Raw genomic sequence first — 19823 nt, forward strand, 5'->3', positions numbered from 1 at the left:
TCATTCCCATCAGACAACAAATTAAAATGAGGGGAAAGGGCTGTATTTCAGTCGTTAACCCATAATTCAGCTGCCAACATTATATAAAAGCCTCACGCACTCTAGTCCAATCGTTCATCTTTTTTCTCTTGCTTTAATGAGGCAGCAGAAGTGATCCCTCAGCCTGCTTTCTGGGGCTTCCTTTGCAGTGCCGTGTACCCAGAGAAACTCAAACACAATGCTGCTCACAAACTTTTATGAGCTGTTATCTTCACCTTCAGCTACATCCTTCAAGGGATAATAAAGCCACTACATCTTAGTTTGGTCCGTGATTGATACTTTAATTGTTGCTTTTTAAAATAAATAAAGATTTAAATATTTCAAAAGGCAATTGCAAAGCAGATCAGCCTTTTTTTTTTTTTTTTTTTTTTTTTTGAGACGGAGTCTCGCTCTGTCGCCCAGGCTGGAGTGCAGTGGCGGGATCTCGGCTCACTGCAAGCTCCGCCTCCCGGGTTCACGCCATTCTCCTGCCTCAGCCTCCCGAGTAGCTGGGACCACAAGCACCCGCCACTACGCCCGGCTAATTTTTTGTATTTTTAGTAGAGACGGGGTTTCACCGTTTTAGCCGGGATGGTCTCGATCTCCTGACCTCGTGATCCGCCCTCCTCGGCCTCCCAAAGTGCTGGGATTACAGGCGTGAGCCACCGCACCCGGCCCAGATCAGCCTTTTATTTAGCAAGTCACCATCACAAGACATACAGGCTAAGGCTTAAAAGAAGCCCTTGGGTTTAAAACAAATGTTTAGGAGGAGATGAGAAGTTTCTCATCTTTGATGGCTACAAAAATCATCAAAACAAATTCAGGTTCAGAGTCTAGAAAAGATGTTACTATTTGCAGCATGGGTCTGATACAGCAGTTCTTAACGGGTAAACTGCTTTGTTTTAATTTATAATACAGTAAATATTGATAGATTTAATACACGTGAACAAAAGCTCTTTGGGGTCTTCAGTAATTTTTTTTTTTTTTTTTTTGAGACACAGTCTTGCTCTGTTGCCCAGGCTAGAGTGCTGCAGCGCAATCTTGGCTCACTGCAACCTGTGCCTCCTACCTTCAAGAGATTCTCCTGCCTCAGCCACCTGAGTAGCTGGAATTACAGGCACACACCACCACGCCGGGCTAATTTTTGTATTTTTAGTAGAGATGGGGTTTCACCATGTTGGCCAGGCTAGTCTCGAACTCCTGACCTCAAGTGATCTGCCCACCTTGACCTCCCAAAGTGTTGGGATTACAGGTGTGAGCCATTGCGCCCAGCCCTGGGGTCTTCAATAGTTATTAAGAGTGTAAAGCACCCTGTGGATCAAAAGTTTGAGCACCTATGTTTTAGTGGAAGGACTGTACATTTTGGAGCAAAATGGTTTTTAAGGGTTTTATTTGTCTCCTCTGTCTCCCACTTGCTGTGTAATCACAGCCAATTTACTTGGCCTCTCTGGTCTTCCATTTTTTATATATCAGGCTAATCACCCTTATAATTATTTGCTCAAGCATGTCTTCCTTGCTGAAATATAATATCCAGAAGGTCAGGATTATGTCTGTTTCGTTCATCCCACATTACCAAAGTCTAGTACAGCACATTACATGATACATGATAGGGTCTCAATAAATAATCATAAATTGATTGACAGGGTGGCTGTGAGTCTTAAATAGAATAATGTGTATAAAGTGCCCCATGAGGTACCTGGCAGATGGCAAATGTCATAGGTGCTCAGTAAATGCCAGATCCCTTTCTTTACCACTAATGCTGTTCTCAGTGGTACCACACAGGAGACAAAATTCATGGCTTGTCTACATAAAGTAAATATTTAAGGCACTGGTTCCCAAAGTGTGGTGTCCAAACTAGTAGCATCAGTATCACCTTTAGAAGTTGTTAGAAATCAAATTATTTTACTCCTACCCTAGACCCACTGAGTTAGAAATTCCACAGGAAGGGCCCATCACTTCGGGTTTTAACAAGCCCTCCAGGAGATTCGGAGATTCTGACTCATCCTCAAGTTTGAGAACCATGGCTTGAAGATAATATTTTATGCCAGTAACATTTTAGACTTTCGTAACAGAGAGATACCCAATATGTTGTCTAATGCTGGCAGCCTAAGATCCTTTTGGGACAAGGGCAGGGGAAACAAAGTCAAATACAATAAATTTCTGCTGCTGGTCTTGTAGGGTGGAATGATTGATTTTGTATTCTGGTTGTGTTCCTGGGGCCAGTACTAAACGTACCTTTCATTTGAAATAAAGCTGGAACCATTAGAAACAGAGGAAGTTTTATCTTAGAGAAACTCCAGCATAACGCTTGAGTCACCTTTTGTGGCTGGGCATAAAATTTGTGAGTAGGAACAGAGAGAGAGGAGAGGAGGAAAGGGAGAAGAAGGGTAAATGATTCAGTAGCTATGAAAAGCATACATTTTGTTGCTGATATCTACCATACCTTCATAAACACACTTCTAATTTTCACAATTCCCCTGCAACACAGCAAACCATTACCATTAGGGTAATTAACTACTAATAAGCCTCTAGTTTGTGAGAGATGCCACCAGCAAATAAAGGTTGCAATTTGAGTAATTTCCAAGTGACAGCAAGCTTCACAGCCATCCTATAACATAGACACAATCATTATTCTCATTCTATATCTATGAAAACTGAGCTTCAACAGGTTAAGCAGAGCTGAAATTCAAACCTAGGAATTCCTGACTTAAAATTTATGCCATTCACCAATACACAATCTTACCTACCTACATACAACACACAGAATAGTCTTGCAAATATAGTGGAGCACATTTGAGGTGAGGACTGTGATTTAAAGTCAATGCGTAAAGTACAACACACACGTAGTCAAAATAATCCTTGAAAAATATTATAAATTTTTCATGAAGTACAATATATGTTGTATTACAGATACAACTATGTGCAGTAGTAATATGTCATACAACTTCATATATCAATTTGGATGATATGATAAAGTCAATAATCAAAATATAATAAGAATATTTTTAATAAATGAGAGCAGGCGTAGAATAGATTTTGAGTAAGTTAAAAGCATGCTTTGCCTGGATGCAGGATATTTGCTAAGGGAATGGAGATGCACCCAGAGTGACAGAGGGAGTATCCTATGTGCCAAAAAAGTTCTAGGTTCTCTGGAGTCATATCAAGAAGTGTGATATACAACTGCTACTTGGAAAAGCTTGCAACATGCTACAGACATGGTCATATCTATGAATAACCATGTTACAAGGCACACAATGCAGGGGCTGAAGCATAGCCAGGCCAGGAGAGGGTATGGTAAAGAGAATTAACTTCAACTTGGAGAATCCAAGCCCAAGAAGCAAAGATCTTATGAAGCATGGACTGGATAAATGTGCCCTGGTCTGAATTGGAATAGGGATACCCTAAATTTCATTCCTCTTCCTCCCAGTTGCCAGTGCTTTGACAACTGACCAAATTATTTATAAAACAGTACTATTAATATCTAACCCACAGAATATACACTTCTAGTGACTGTGTATGTATTTATATTTATATAATTAAATAATTTTATTTTTCTGCAAGATAAATGCATATTATCTGAAATAAATTAACATTACTTTTTAAAAGAAGTACTATATCCCACTTTAAATCTTCTCAGGATGGATGGAGAGCAAGGTTGGGAAAGTAGGAAAAAAACATTGAGTGCATACATACAGTGAGTCAAGGCCTCTCTTCTGCCTTATAGCCTTATATATATGGTTTAATCTCCATTTTTACAAATGAGGAAATAGGGACAGGTTTAGTAATTTCCCCAAAGCAAAACAGCTATTAAGTGCCAGAGCCAGCGTTCAAACTAAGTATGCTTACTTTTAAAGCTTAAGCCCTTATCATAACAAAACTTAACACATATTTGTCTTTATCAAACTGCATTGCAACCCTGTGATTTCTTGGCACATTTCCTGATATGAGTGAGGAAGAAAGAAACAGCTTATTTCATTCAGTCAACCAAAAGTTTTTGAGCAACTACTAGGTACCTAGCACTGTTTGGGGTTCAGTTGTGAGCAAGACAGAGAGAGTTCTGACCCCCTGAAGCATGAAGTGGAGAGGAGAGAGGAGTGTGGTGTGGCATGGGCCAGAGAAGAACCCCAGGCCCAGGAGTGAAGAAGCCTTTATTCTCACTGCTGTAACTAGGCCACCAACGAGCTTGAGCAAGTCACTTCACCTTGCTGAGTCTCTTTTTTCTTATCTGGAAAATGGGAGGGGTGTGCATAATTTTATGGGATTGCCAAGTTCTCACATTCTCTTATTCCATAAGAGGCATTTATTTTCCCATCTTTTTAAAATTAAATCAGGTTAGGAGCTATCATGAGTGTTATTAGTTGCCAAAAAATCAACTATTTCCACTCTTTTCCTCTTATCGTGCCTTTTCTCCAATACAATTCACAATCAGTCAAGTCACAGGACGTAAAGGCCACCAAGCAAAAGAAATCTGACAATGGCTTCTCGGGAGCTCTGCAGTCTACCTGGCCAGATAACGTTAACACACATGATCAAAGGTGTCCATCCCTAGTTTCACATTAGCACAATGTCAGGTGCAAAACTCCTTGACTTTTGCCACTGAAATTTATATCTCTGAGTTACCTGTTGAATCAACTGCTCCGAAGATAACAAAGACATCACCTCAGTCATCTTGCAATGCTAGTGGCTACTAACATCTTAAAAGCCTTCTTTGTCTTTAATGATAATGATAAAGTATTGTTTTGGGCCATTCTATTGCCCTTATTATTTTTCATTTTTATGGATATTTGTATGAAATACACCTTTCAATATTTTTAAAACAGAGTTCTTATTTAGATTGTTTCAGACCCATCACTTAATGGTAAAGGTTCTTGGTTATATTTCTATTACATTTCCTTCCAAATCATTTTCTGTTTAAATGAATTAAGTCAATGATTTAGGCATTTACTTCATGATATTGATGAAATTACTACATACAGGGCATGGTGCAAGTTGATTAGATTTTAGAATCTCTATTAGCGCTGTTAAGAATACATACAAACCAAAGTGCCTGCTGAATGAGATGCCACCCCCTCCACTTCTCCCTCAAAATTACCTTCTGTCCACCTGTTTCCTTGAAATACAGGGAGAGGAAAAACACCTTAGTATAACAGGACTTGTAAAGGACCACTTCCCAGGTCCTTTGAGACAAACCAAATATCTCCTTCTTTATCTCTTACCTAGCATCATTTGTTCATCTTTCTCCTCACACTTAACAGCACAATTTCAATGTTTCTTTTCACCAGTCTGCCTGTGCCTCAAGTTTTTATGTTTATCCCCAGTGCCTAGCACAGCTTTTGACATAAATGCTGTGACCAATTATTATTCAACAGATAGATGAATGAGACCCTTCTGCTGAGGGGGAAGGGGTAAGAGATGGGGGAAGGGATAAGAGATGGGAGAAGAGGCCCATTTAAAAATAAAATGGTGATAGCAAATAACAATCACAGTGAACCTGTGTTAAGCTCCTATTGTGTGCCAAGCATTGTATATATTATTGCTAACCTTTAACAAAAAGGAAAAATGGCGAAAGTAATTTTATTTTCTCTTCTTATAGATCTGCACTGTTTCAATAGGGTAGCCACTACCCACATAGGAGCATTAAGCACTTAAAATGTGGCAAATCTGAATTAAAATGTGCTGTAAGTATAAAAATACATGCTAGATTTCAAAGATTTAGTACTAGAAAAAAAAGAATGTAAAATATCTCAATAATCTCTATATCGATTACATGATTTTTTAAAATTTTGTGTTAAGTAAAATATATTCTTAATTTTTCTTTTTTTTTTTTTTAAAGGGTGAAGTTTGGGGAGAACTCCCAAGAGAATGGGCACAGGAAGTAGCATTTATCTACGCACTAAAATGCCAGACACTTTTAAACACCTCACATTTACAACAATTACTAGCCCCATTTTCCAGATCCTAATACTCGGGTTAAGTGATTCACCCAAATGCCTGGATCTTGAAAACTGTAGCCCAAATTTAAACAAGGTATTTCCGGATTCAGAGTTCTTCTGATAACAGGCCCAAGTGTAAGGAAACAAAGGGCGATCAGACCCCAGAAAGGCCTGTCACGAGGAGTTTTGAGAGTAGTCAGACTGTCCAGCCGCGGAGCAACCTAACCAGGCACTGGAAGACACCACCAGATGCTCAGGGCAAAACCTTTTGTCCCCTCTCCGCAGCGAGGCAATCCAGGCCGGAGAGTCAGATGCACCTGAGAAAACCAATATCCCCAGGGCATATCTTGGGGTTGGGTCAAACTCCATTCCTTATCCTAGAAGCCCTGCTTATGGGTCCCGGAGGTTGACTCTGCTAGTGCTCCGGCGCCCTCTAGCGATTGTCCATTCCAATGCCAGCTCTCTCTAGTCCGTCCTTCTAGACTCACCAGCTCCTAGGGCTTGCCCTGCCGTGGACCCCTGCCAGCCTGATTTTGCTCCTCCCCTACCTCAAGGTGCAATGAATTGCCCTACACTTGGATAAGAAAGAGGTCTTCTGGTCAATAAGCCTTAAACCTGAGCTTTCTAAAGTTAATCCGAAATACTGTATTTTCCCCCTGACATTTCCAAGGAGAAATTTCTCTAGTTTCCTAAGTAATAAGAAAAACAAAGTTAGAAATACTGTGTTCTGAGCCAAAGATGTAAAAGCAACATTTAAGAAAGTTTGTTCTTTTTGAATGACGCTTTAATTTAAAACAGAATAAAGGATTCCCCTGTGTGTTCCTGGAACTGTAAACACTCATAAACTCTCTTTGTTTACTTTATTGACTCAATTGTGACATTTAAAATAGAAAGCTAAGTCTATGCATGAGCAATTTTTTACAGAACATGCACATTAACAGAGATGGCTGCAGACAATGACTTTGTACAAATTCAATCACATTTATTGGGTAAATATTGCACTGGCTCCAAGAGACAGCAATGTAATAAGTCCCAAGCCTACTCCTCCTAACACTCTAATGGAGGTGGGAGACACCCCCGCAATCATCCCTAACTCATACTTAATAAAGATCAGCAGTGCACATGGTGCCAGAGATTGGCTCCACTGCTGTAATTATCTCCAGGGAACTTGAGTTTCTTTATGAGGGGAGTAATCAGAAGGGTTGTTGAATGAGTCTCCTGATTTTGAGAAGTCACTTATTTGAGCTTTAGTTTCCACATTTGTCAAATTAAATTGCTAGAGTCAGCAGATGATCCCCAAGCTCTCTTCCAGTTCTGAGAGTCATAGAACATGCACATTAACGGAGATGGCTGCAGACAATGACTTTGTACAAATTCAATCACATTTATTGGGTAAATATTGCACTGTTGAAAGTTGCTGATCACAGTTTAGAGATGAGTCCATCACAGATCAGCTTAAATGGGCTCCCCTTCCAGCCCTATGACTAAAATAATAGGACTGGAATAAACTTTCCCAAAGAAGGCATCCTTATCACTTTCTTATTTTTGAGACTTGCCTTCCAACCCTCAATATTTACTGAGCTAAAAGCTGATGGTTCCCAAGAGGGTTTCCAAAGAATACAGCAGACAAATAAAGGACTTCCCAGGATGTGCTGATTTAGGAGAAAATATATCCAATATATCACATATATTTAGTAGTTCATACAGCAAACAGAAAGCTCCCACATAACTGCAGTTTCTAGTACAGAAAAAGAAAACCTGAAAGTATATGTAGGCACTAATATGTTTTTATTATGCAGTCACAAGTTTAGGAGATATTCACTGAGTTTAACACTAATTGAGGCCTTACTATAGACTATTTCAAATAACATAGAAAAGATGATGCATCTTACCTGACCCATTTATTGTGCTTGATTTTTGGATTTACCATCAACTATCACATAAATACTTTATCCAAAAAATGGATGTGTAACCCCAACCTAAATTATTATCATAATGTGCTTCCCTGAAAAGAAAATATTATAAGATTTTGGGGACATCTTAAAAAGAATTAAAATCAGTAATCTATTCTTTGCCATCTACATTCAATCAGGAGAAAGGCAACTGTATTATTACATGTTGGAAGATCAGTTTTAATGCACCAAAGAATGGTCTTGAACTATGTGACATTTTATTTTGAATGCATTTAAATTTTTCTATTTTGATATTTTGTAAATCTAGTGTACTGGCTACTGTTGCCAAGGAAATATGACTTTGGGTTACTGAATGGATCTGCAAAGGTTTTTGTTTTTCTTTTAAAATATTAACAAGACAAAAATGGAAAGATCAAATATGGAACACAAATTTAGCCCTTTCTCTCTTCAAAGTGCACGGAATACAGATCTTCTTACACACCACTGATTAAAAAATACAAAGATGCATGAAGTGATTTTTCCCAACTAGTGTAGAGACTTTTACCCAATTAGCCAAGTTGATATCATCAGAGTACCTGTCTCATTCTTTGTTCTGGATTCAGACCACTCTGAAAATGTGTGGTATTGATTACACACAACACTGACGGCTCATCTTCAATAAGTTCATCTCTAAATGAAAAGATCCTTTCTTTATGTGGATAAAGGTAACATAATGTTCTAGGGTGTTACATTTCAAAGAATTTTCGAAGTGAAGTCAGAAGAAGGCATAGTGCAAACCTTATAAATGTGTTCAGTATTAATTCCAAAAGATTCAAATACATATGAGAATAAAGATTCCACCATTAACCCATTTTTTTTGGTCTGTGATTGTTTCTTATAGTCAGTATAACCTCAAGGTTTTAAGTCATAATAATGGGCTTGAATAATCTAATTATTTAAAAGAATCAAAGCTTTTTTCTATTGTTTTGGAATATTACATAAAACTTCTCTATAAACAGATAACATCTTTACTTCCTACTAACTGAAATGAGGTATTTTTAATTAGAAATACACAAGCAGATTAAGTATACTTTAGAACAAACACCTTTTAATTAAAACCTCTAAAACCAGAGTCCCCTTAAGACAAACCAATAATTCACCAAAATGTCATGTTGCTACTGGAGACTTGGAGATAAACAGGAAGTCTTTTAATTTCTTTTTACACTTAAGAAACAACTCAGAGCAACTATTTTCAAAGAAATATTTAGGAATTTTAGTAAAGCAACTATCTCAAACTGGGAAGTCACTGTACCGCATCTGTGCCTTCTCCCAGTCAAATATGCTGGGCCTGTGTCTGGGAGAATAAAAATAAGGTTGACCACTCACAGGAAAGGCATAAGTTTGATGGCCATGGGAGTTTTTACTTGTTAACACATAAGTAGAGGTTTGGTTCAATTATAGGCAATCTCTTCTCACACAATCATACAAAACTGCCCAGGATTAAACATCTACTATTGCTATAGACCAATATATCCTTTTATGTAATGTTAATGGAAAAGTCACCTCATTCTGATGTGTTTTGAGTTTGATCCTCTAAAACCATAAGAATCTTCCCATGAGAGATAGTTGAGAAAATGTTGGCCTTTATTAGTATGCACTATTAACACAGGTGTTCTGACTGCATTTTCCAACCCTCCCTCTATTTTATGCACCTCTCTACATGTGAGAACTTTTGACTAACTCTGAGTCCTGACCTGCCAGAGTGACTTTGTCAGTCTCTCTTTAAAAATGGGCAGGTGAATGAGTTCAGCCTAGAAGCAGCAGCTCGGTAAGGGAAATGAAAATATCAGAAGTTATCTAATCACAGCCATAGCCATGCTGAGCTTCATCTTATCTTTTGGTTAATAAAAAGAAATGGGACCTTCCGAAACTTGAAGGGCATCAAATTAAGTTTTTGCTTGCCTCTGGCTTTTTGGGGGATATGCTATGTGGTTTAACCAGCATATACTAACTACAAAAATTGACATGGATTCAAAACACCTGTGTCATAGGACGGTGGGTGTTTGTTTTTTTGTTTTGTTATAAAGCAGAAAATAAAACACAAAGGCCTTTGAGAACAGGGATTGTTAAGGGAATAGAAGAGTATGGAGAAAAGAACACTTTATTTGAAGTTAAGGTAATTGTGTACGCCTGTGTATGTGTGCGCGCGGGGGCGCGCGAATGAGCAGGATTTAGTTTCATTTAAAGATAACATATTAAAGTATCTTGGACAGCTCAAAAGTGCTGTTCAGGAAACAAAACCAAGTGAGCCAAGAAAAACCAGAACAGTGCTTTTAAAATCCCTGGCAAAGCAGCAAGAGGATGAAGAGTTGGTTTTGCATAGTTTTGAACACAGGGTGTAAAGGTGCTGAGGCATCTTTTCCCACAAGTCACTGAAATCCTGTGAGAGTGTGTGAGTGTGTGTGTGTGTCTGTGTGTGTGTGTGTGTGTGTGTAGAGGGAGAGGTTCTCAGATGTCTCTCTTGCAAAGCTTCCCAGAGCACTCTCGCTTCCCTAGCCCCCTCCCGCCTCACTCTGCTCACCTTTCCCCCCTCCACTTCCCAACCACCCACATCAAGCCCTTCATAGATTTGCGCCCCTTGGATCATCTCTGCCGCCTGTGACTTTCCCTGGAGCCTAGCAGGTTCTGGGGCTGAAAGGCAATCCGCCAAGGCGCCCTGGGGCGCCGTCAGATTTGGAACATAGAATGGGAAATAGGGCCTTAAAGCCCACCTACTCCAAGATGAAGGAGGAGCATTTTTCATCAGGGTTTAGCCTGCTCCTCACCGGATGGTAATCAGCACTCGCTTGACTTGGCGTGGACCACCTCCTAATTATCTCCATTGGATTCAGCCCTAACAGTTCTCGTGTGTCTGTGATACCACGCGGGGTCGTGATCTCCTTACTCAGCTGTGGCTTGGTTTCAGTGGTCCCTCCAGTCCCGTCCCCTGTCCCCGTCCCCCTTTCCTTCTGGCTACTTTATTCCATAGAGGAAGAAGCGCTGAAGGACTACGTTGAATCAAAGCACTTGCAAGCCTATTCATTAGTTTTTAACACTGAGAAGAGGCAACTAAAATATTATTAGAACCTCATTGTAAGAAGTGTGGGGGAGGAGGTTGAGAGGCTGAATCCAACCGCAGCCAGGTCAAGCCATTGGAAGGGACTACAATGTCCCACAGCTTTCTCACTGTCAGAGAGGAAGCTGCAACTTCAGCCAGAACTCCCTTCCCCTCCCCTTCCCCGATTTTGAAAACCGTACCCCTTCTTCCGCCTTCGGGACTTCCCTGACCTATCCCTCACCCGTGCCATGCTGTCCCCTCCCCTCCGCGGTCTTTCTCCCCAACTCCATTCGCCCCACCCCACCTGGGCGAGTTGGGTGGATGTCAGAAGGCGAGAGGTAGGGGATGGAAGTCCCTTCAGATTAAAGACGTTGCTTGCTGCTGCTTTTTAAAACAACAACAGCAATGACAAACGTGCAAAGGTGAGCGAGAACCAGTGCATCTCAAAAGTTGGTCTTGCTACGCAGCAGCTCCAACAGACTTTGCAATCACAGCGCCCCAGGAACACAGGAATGAAGAGTTGGCATTTACTTACCTGGGTGTGCCAATCTCGAAGAGTGGAGAGAGAATTCAGCCCGGGACGAGGTCTGTCCCGCCCCCAGGATGCAAAATCCGGCTTTGAAGTGGAGGTGGTTGGTGTGGTAGTTTTGTACTGATGTAAGGGGCGTCGCACCTCCTTCCCCTCTCGTCCTCCGAGGTCAGTTTAGCAACAGCGGCTGGGAAAGGTGCTGAGAGCAGAGTTCGGTCTCTCCGGAAACCCTGACTCCATTCTCGGTGATGGGGGTGGGGGAAGAGGGTGAAAATGTTGGAGATGTCAGGTCGGCTCTCAGTTAACTCGGAGAGTAAAGAGGAGGGTACTGAGAAAAGAGGGAGGGAGTGGAGTGGAGCGAGGGAGGAAGGAAAGGAGGGTGGCAGAAAGAGAAGGGGACGAGCGGGTGGCGGGGAGATGGCAGCTTCTCACAGAGAGATTTCCACCTTCTGACGAATCCCATGCACCCAGCAACCCGGCAAGAGACTGGTTCCGAAACCTCCGCGCGAGCGCCCCCTGGGGGTTGCTGACGGAGACGAGCATTGCCCCGGGAACCCGAGCTCAGGCCCCGCCCAGGCCTTGGCGGCGGCGCTCTCCGTGGTCCTGCCGCGCCCGCAGTCTGGGCTTTCTGCTCAGCTTTGTCGCTCAACTGAGCTCCTGGGGACACTTGATTTAGATCTCCAAGTGCTTGGTCTCCATCTCCACTCTAGGGTGGAGCGGTCGTATCGCGGCGCGGGTGTGGGGGGAATGGGAGTTACACTTTTTGGCACTCACCAAAGAAAACTTCTTAGATGGGTGCTTAACTGTCACCAAAAATGGTAAAGGTGTTGCTAATCTCTGGATCCTTCGTGTCTACAAAACTGTCTGGCGTATGGCAGGAGCCTGGAAATTATTTTTAGTAAGTAATGCATGAGTAAATTAATGGACAAAGAGTATTTTCTTCATCTCATGATGAGTTTCTGAATACATCTACCTCACAAATAAGATAAAGAAATACTTAGGGAGTACTTATGCTTAAAGATAGATATAAATATGCTGTCTTATGTAAGGGGTGACCACTTCCACATGTTTTAAAGCACTTTAGAGAGAAAGTATGGCCTTCCTATTTCAAACTTATTCAAATTCAGACAAATGAACTTATTCAAATACAGGGCATTGTTTCTGATTATGTCTGCTACCATAGACAAACTAGACAACTAAATTCTCTCTGCACATTGGTATTGTCAGACTCACAAATTGGACTTTGGAATTAATGAAGTAAAGTGAATGACGGTCTCTTTCTGACATTGGGATGGTATAGAGTGTGTTACATCTAACGTGGAGGGGAGATGGAAGGTCTTCCTTCTCACCCTATTAAGGGGCTATCTAACAAAGCCTCTCCAACCTGAAGGTTGGAGGAGATATTAGCCAAAATCTTTTCACTAACCATGAAGTTCTCAATTTCAAAGTCCAGAAAAGGAGAACCAATAGGGTAAGGAGGAAGACCCCCTCTTAATTGTTCTATAGAAGTAGACAGAAATATCTTTGATAAACAAAGGGACAACCTTCTGACAGAACACAAATAACATTTTTCTTCTTTCAGTCACCTCTAAAGCCTTTCTGAAATAGGATAACACTAAACATGGACCCTGGAAAGGACCTCAGGGAGCTTCTCTGTACACTGAAACTACCACAGAAATCCTTGGATTTGCTTTGATTGCAAAAACTTGGGTCACATGGCTATGCATAAGTCAATCGTTGTGACCTTTGGATATGGAATTACACTAATGGGCCAGGACTTCCACAATGTCTAGGAGCATGTGATGTCTTCTATAGCACTCCTGGAGCCAGGATGGAGCCCCACCTGATCTACACACATTGCGAGTGAGACACAGGGACAATTCTCCAAGGGATATTCAGGGTCCTCCTACCAGGAAAGGGGAGACGGATGCTAAGCAGGCAAAACCAGTGTATGACTACTAAATATGAAAATGTTAAGTCCAAAAACATTACTTCCAGGTTTTGTTAAGAGGTAGCCTCAGAGATAAACTCAAAATTTGAATTGGATTGAACTTGCAAAGATGAAGGAAGAAGAAGGAAAAGTCATTGTGCATTTCCTTGCATGTTAATTGTATCCTCTAAAATTTAATTTCTATGAAGGCAAGGGATATGTCTGTTTTGTCGTCTTGTTCATAATTATAACCCCAATGCCTAGAAAGGTGTCTACCACCTTCTACATTTATAAAATTAAAAATAATATAAATACCTTAGGGACCATTCAACATAAACTTCTTATATTACAGGTGAGAGAAAAGGAATTAAGATGTGCTGAGCATGTACTATTTCCAGGCAATCTGTTAGGCACTCTACTTACCATCCCATTTAATTTTTACAACAACCTGCCCAAGAAAGTTTTACTATATCTACAAAAATAAATCCAGGGTGTGGGCGGTTGAAATGACCAGACCAGGGAACACAACTAGTTAATGGGAGGATAGGGGTTGTTCATTGAAGCAGTCTCTAAAGGGGCAGCTAGAATAAGTGAACACATGGACCATAGAAAAGAAGTTATAGAGTCAATGCTCATAGGGAAAAAGAAAAACAACATAGTTATCTTTGGCCCTACATGTTAAAAGCATAGATACACAAACTAAACACAATGCCACAACTTGTGACAAATATGGTTTCCTTTGCCAGCAGGCTTCAGCTCCGTAATTAGAAACAAACAGTTGCCTGCATGCCAGTGCGCAGAAAACGTGCAGCTTTATGCCAGAAACTTGGAATTTTTTTCTGAAGGCATGACACTGAAGGTAAATTCAAAGAAGCTTTTTACAGGGCACATAAAGCAGAATTTACTTCCACCTCTTATATGAAATCAACAGCTCATCTGTACAAATGAAGATTTGTAACCAGCTAATAATCCATGTTTTCAATCACTGCCCCCACAGCAAGTTGCCCGCCAGCCACAGTCCCCTCAACAATTGTAACATCAAAATCCCCTTGTCTCTATCACTCACCTCCTCCCAGCTCTCCTTTTAATGGATTCTGAGCTGCTGGGTTCTACAGCCATGGTCAAATTTATCTAAAGCCAAGCCACAAAGTCACTGTGGCCCTGGTGTTCCCAAGTTGCAAAGGAAGCTTCAGCTCTGGGTAGATTCACTCGCCGGGTTTCTGTTTGATAAGATAAGAGGAGGCATCCGCTCAGTGTCTTATGCCAATATGAAAGGCATCTCACCCATCAGTGTGACAAGTGAAATCCTGGAATGAAGCCAGGGAACAAAAGGGAAGAAATGTGGATTCTTACCAATGCAGTTGATACCATTTTTTAAGGGGAGCAGATGATGAAGGGGAAAAACAGGCAGAGAGTCAGTGCCCTGCATCAAAAACCTTGGATCCTTCCCTGAATGAGTCAGGGTGAGCATTTAGTTTTGAAATGGAATTTCTGTTTCCTTTTATTTTCTTTCTTTTTTTTTTTTTTCTGTAAGAACTACTAAAGGAAACTGTTGTAAATAACAGGATATATTTTTGAGGCTGTGGATCATATAAGAACTTTGAATCTCACCCCAGGGCTATTTATAGCTCAAAAATTTGTTCTTTTTTTCTATTTCAAGTGATTTTTGAGAACTGACTGATATGTCTTCCTCTGGTGTTTCTGTATATGCCTGAGGTGTGATGTATTACTGGAAAGCAGAAAGGAACACTCTAAGAAAGCACTTTTTCTAAGATGCTAAGAGTCAAGGGAAAATGAACATACATGTTGCAAGCTGATGCAGGAATTAAATATTCCACTGTCTGTCATTCCTTTTTATGAGAACCCTATACCACCTGTGGTGCCTCTAACATTGGGTAACAACCTGTGCTACGAAAGGGCAGTTTATACTTCTGTCTACCAATAGGTGGCATCAAAATCTCTAGCTTTTCTTTCCTGTATTTTAAAAACCATAGGCAGAGGGCATTTTCTTTCTGAGATTTTACATTTTATCATGAGTGATGTTATAAAGGCCACTAAATAGCTCTGTATAATTTCAGAGCAGATTTTCCTATTGCTCTATTAATGAGGTCTCTCAGTTGTCCCTCTGAGCCTCAGTTTTCTCATTGTAAAAAGAAAGTATTTGGATTGAACTCCAGCTCCAAGATTCTGCTTTTTAACTACATAATATCTTCCCAGACACACCATTTTTCATGCCTATGATAAACCCATTAGCACTCCATTCCTCTGGGCTTAAGGAATATTAGCAAGCAAATATCCCTTGGTTGCAGAGGCTGTTATCTGCCCAGCCTATATTCATTTTTGTTTGTTTTTCCTTACTAAGAAAAACATAATTTTGTGGAGGGTAGCAACGTGTTTAGCTCCAAACCTTCATTTTCCAGCTTTTCTTGCAGATGGGGTAGTGATGTGATTAAGGTCTAGCCCTGCACTATTTATTGTGGTAGCCACTAGACACATGTATCTATTTAAATTTAAATTTATTAAAATCAAGTAAAATTAAAAGTTGATTTTGTCAGTTCCACAAGTGACATTTTAAATGCTAAACAGTCATAAGTGGCTAGTAGCTAACATCTTGGATAGTTCAGATATAGAACATTTCTATCATTGCAGAAAGTTTTGTTATATAGCACTGATCTAGCCATTGAGATGAGATGTCAGTAGAAGTTATAGGGCAGTTTCTGTGAGAGTTTTCAAAGAGAAGGAGATACTGAATCAGCTGGGATGTACCTTTATCTCTTTACCTCTTCCTTTCTTTCTACCTGAAGGTTACAGTAAGTCAGCCATCATGTGACTATGAAGCAGCAAGCATTTGCCAAGGCAGGTTAAGCAGAAAGATAAAAGGAACCTGGGGCTTTGATATCATAAAGGCAACAACATTATTGTCAGCTGTATTAGGAGAAAAATAAAGTCTTCCATTGATTCAAGCTACTGTTTTCAGCTTTTTATTACAAATAGCTAAATATTATTTCTAACTGATATACCATCAGAAACTTACCTGGACAACTTTCTATTAATGACTGAAAAAGCGTGTGTCTTTCCAGTTTCCTTTACTTTGGTTAGAGTTGAGGACTAGACTCTGGATATAAGAAACAAAACAATGTGTACACCATGAAGTGATAAGTATTAATCATTCATTTCAATATGTCCAATGGACCAAAAAAGGGGCAGATGGGTATTAATGATTCCCAAAATAAATATCCCCTGTTTTAAAATTTGGCTAAAGAGTAGCTTTGCATTTTCCTGGAAAAGAGGTTGGTGGGAAAAAAAAGATAATATTTGAACCTGTACTATATGCTAGAAACTTGGCTGAATGATTTGACATTATCCTATTTAATGTTCATGACAATCCAATAACGTAACCACTCATATCTCCCTTTTGTGCAGATAACAAACTGAGGCCCAGAGAAATCAAATATGTTGTCAAAATCTACATCGTTGAAGAGATGGGTTTCAAATCCAGGTCGGCTTGGCCCTTGCCACGACTTCATAATGAAATTCCATGGGTGAGTGTTACCAGTTTCTGGTCCATCCTTGCTTATTTCAAGGGTCTCATCATCCCATCCACTGTATCACTTTTTTTGTTACAGGCTTTACTCTTTTCTACCATGGAAAAGACTAATGATATTTTTTTCTCCATAAGCTTGGAAATATTATCAATCACCATAAAATTCAGCCTTCCTCTGGTAACTTTGGAGACCCTCAGAGCTTTTCTTATTTCCAGAGACAGGCGGTTTGGATGAGAATTATTCTCTTTTTTCACACAAATTGGCCAGATGACATCTTTACTGGTATCTGAAATAGAAGCAGAAAACAACTTGGAGGACACAAAATGTGAAGGTTGGAGAAATAGCTTTGAATTCAAACTGAAATTAAATAGTTTCCTTTGTTGAAACTCACAGAGGAAAACAAGTTACCTAAAAAACTTATTAAGACTTTTACTAGAATTCATGAGATAATTGTAAGATAATAAAAAAGTCATGTAAAGAAAACCTAAAGAATTCAAAGAGAAAATGAGAGGAAAACAACATCATTGCAGATCTTAAAATCACATTCTGTAAAAATCAGAAATGACCATGCAGAAAACACAGAGCAGTCACAGAGGGCAAAGTAAGTGATGTTTATGGTGACCTGAATTGTTAAGAGGAAGTTCAAATATATTCTGAGTTACTGATTAAGAAATCAAAAAATGTTTTATAAATACTCTTTCCAAAAGATGATTAAATTATTTAGAAATCAACCCATCACTAAGATCAGCCTAGATTCAAGGGGAGGAAACATAGACCCACCCCTTGGTGAGAGGAATATCAAATGATTTTCAGATGTTTTAAAGCCACCATTCCCTCAGTCCTAAAAATGCTCAGTCCTTTCCAGCTACCTGTTTCTAATGCCCTCAGTATATTAAAAGTACATGAGATGTATATGAAATAAAGATGTTCTAGGCAAATGTATAACTCTTAATAGCAGTTTGGAGATTAAGCCCAAGTTTCTGTCTGGTCTCTTTCACTAGTCAACTGAGTCCCAAGTTCTCCTTGTGCCCCTTCAGTGCCAGTGCAGATTCCTACAACACCCTTTGTCCTAGATCCCCACCCTACATTGGCTATATCAAGAGTATCAGTCTATCAGCAAGAAGAAAAAAAGTCTCTCTCCAGAAGGTTTAGAGCATAAGACACCCTCAATTCCATTTGGTCTTCTTCCCCTTGAACGTCACCAGGGGCAGGATGCACTCTCATCCCCACCTACGGTGGCAGAGGGAAACCTAAACAATCTACAATTCTCATGCTTTTTCCTGTTCTCTCTCTTAGTTTATTTGTGTTGCTTTAACAAAATGCCATAGGCTAGGTACTTTATAAACAATAGAAATTTATTTCTCACAGTTCTGGAGGCTGGGAAGTCCAAGATCAAGGCATCAGCAGTTTTAGTATTTGGTGAGGGCCTGGTCTCTTTGCTTCCAAGATAGCACCTTGTTACTGCATTCTCCAGAGGGGATGAACGCAGTGTCCTCACATGGTAGAAAAGAAGGGAGGGCAAAAAGGGCCAAACTCAGTGTAAAACCCCTTTCATAAAGGCTTTAATCCCAGCCTTCATGACCTGATCATCTGCTAAAGGCCCCACATCTGATGCTATTGCCTTGGGGATTAAATTAAATTTCAGAGGACACATTCAAACCATAACAATATCTAACATCTAGAACATTACACAGCAGTACCTCGTGAAAAGACATAGTCTTTTTCTTCATTGGGTTTATGTTTAATTAGGGGACAAGAAATAAACAACCTCAACCCCACGTGGCTATTGCAAAAATGAGGTAACCCATGAGGAAATAAAGAGGAAGAAAACCTATATGTGATCAGAAGAGTCAGGGTAGACCTCAAAAAGCAGACAATGCAGAAACTACGACCTGTGGAAATTAATCAGGCAGGTTAGAGAAAAAGGCTCTCCAGCCAAGGAAGCAGCATGGACAAAGGCTCCAAGTCAAGCACAGACAAGGCATAATCAAAAAACCTCAAGCAATTAAATAATTCACTGTATCTGGGGCATAAAGACAGAAGGAAAAGGAGCAAGAACTGAGGCAAACAAGCAGGCAGGGGCATAAATACAAAGGACCTTGTAAGATTGACTTGAGATTTTATTGTATTCCATGAAATATTTATTCCAATATACTGAGTGGTAATTCAGAATTTTCCATAATCCATGGTAAAATAGGAAAAACAGGAAGCATTTTATATAACTAAATTAATTTTTTGAGAGTATATCTTCATATTTTCATGTTAATATTAGTCACTGCATTCTTGTCATTAATTCTCATGAGGCTTTGCCATTTTAAAAAAAATATTCTTACTTGATAGAATAAAAGTCCTGTGAGCCAAGAGCAACCCAAGAAATGTGTTTTGAGGTTTGCTCTGTGAAATCTAAATATTTGGACACATCAGCAAGAGGTCATGGGAAGACATTAAAGAATTTTGAGCAGCAAGTGTGATTAATGTTAAACTGGGAGAGGGTTGAAGAGGGAAAGTAAAGTTAGAGAAATGAGTAAGTTACCTCCACTGGATTCATTCAATAGATATTGAGCTGGTGTTAGGGATACAATGATGGACCAGCTAGGTAAGGTCTCTGCCTCATGGAGTTATCACTCAAGTCATGGAGACACAAAATGAACAAAGAAGGAGAGACAAACAGGTTGGGAGTCATGTAGAGGGCAGAATGTGGGAGAGAAAGATAGTGAAAGAAAGAACATCTGTAGATTAGCATAAGTTCTGTGAGGGAAATAAAAGTCTAATGATATAAGAAGTCACTGGGAAATGCCTCTTTGGATAGCATGGTCAAAAGGCCTCTCTAAGGAGAGAGCATTTGAATAGAGAACTATCAGATGAGAATGAGTCAGCAC

General features: G+C 40.0%; 1 protein-coding gene across 7 annotated transcripts in view, besides 3 other annotated features; it reads right to left on the reverse strand.

Annotated features, from left to right (window-relative positions):
* The window catches only part of CPNE4 (copine 4), a 506038-nt gene extending 489523 nt beyond the window's left edge, over nucleotides 1-16515 (reverse strand). For 4 of the 7 annotated variants that reach the window (NM_001388327.1, NM_130808.3, XM_047447422.1 and 1 more), the window contains exon 1: nucleotides 11476-11923. Coding sequence is in view for 2 of the 7 variants with exons in the window: in NM_153429.2 (NP_702907.1) it covers nucleotides 14466-14518 (53 nt within the window). In the remaining 5 variants the exon portion in view is untranslated. Of the gene's footprint in view, nucleotides 1-11475; nucleotides 11924-14465; nucleotides 14670-16433 lie in introns of those variants that run through there. The other 3 variants (NM_001388326.1, NM_001289112.2, NM_153429.2) reach the window with 2 other exon arrangements.
* Nucleotides 6434-6483: an enhancer, noted in NCBI's record as "active region_20536". NCBI's record gives its function as "activates an Ori minimal core promoter by ATAC-STARR-seq in GM12878 lymphoblastoid cells {active_cell/tissue: GM12878}" and the evidence as "EXISTENCE:reporter gene assay evidence [ECO:0000049][PMID:35858748]".
* Nucleotides 11503-11672: an enhancer, noted in NCBI's record as "experimental_64660 CRE fragment used in MPRA reporter constructs". NCBI's record gives its function as "activates a minimal promoter by MPRAs in K562 erythroleukemia cells, with activity observed for both the introgressed and non-introgressed 3:131753523 variant alleles {active_cell/tissue: K562}" and the evidence as "EXISTENCE:reporter gene assay evidence [ECO:0000049][PMID:34662402]".
* Nucleotides 12048-12147: a silencer, noted in NCBI's record as "silent region_14739". NCBI's record gives its function as "represses an Ori minimal core promoter by ATAC-STARR-seq in GM12878 lymphoblastoid cells {active_cell/tissue: GM12878}" and the evidence as "EXISTENCE:reporter gene assay evidence [ECO:0000049][PMID:35858748]".
* Nucleotides 16516-19823: the final 3308 nt, after the last annotated feature.

The sequence above is a fragment of the Homo sapiens genome, chromosome 3, assembly GCF_000001405.40.
Source record: "Homo sapiens chromosome 3, GRCh38.p14 Primary Assembly".
In the NCBI taxonomy this organism is placed as follows: Eukaryota; Metazoa; Chordata; class Mammalia; order Primates; family Hominidae; genus Homo; species Homo sapiens.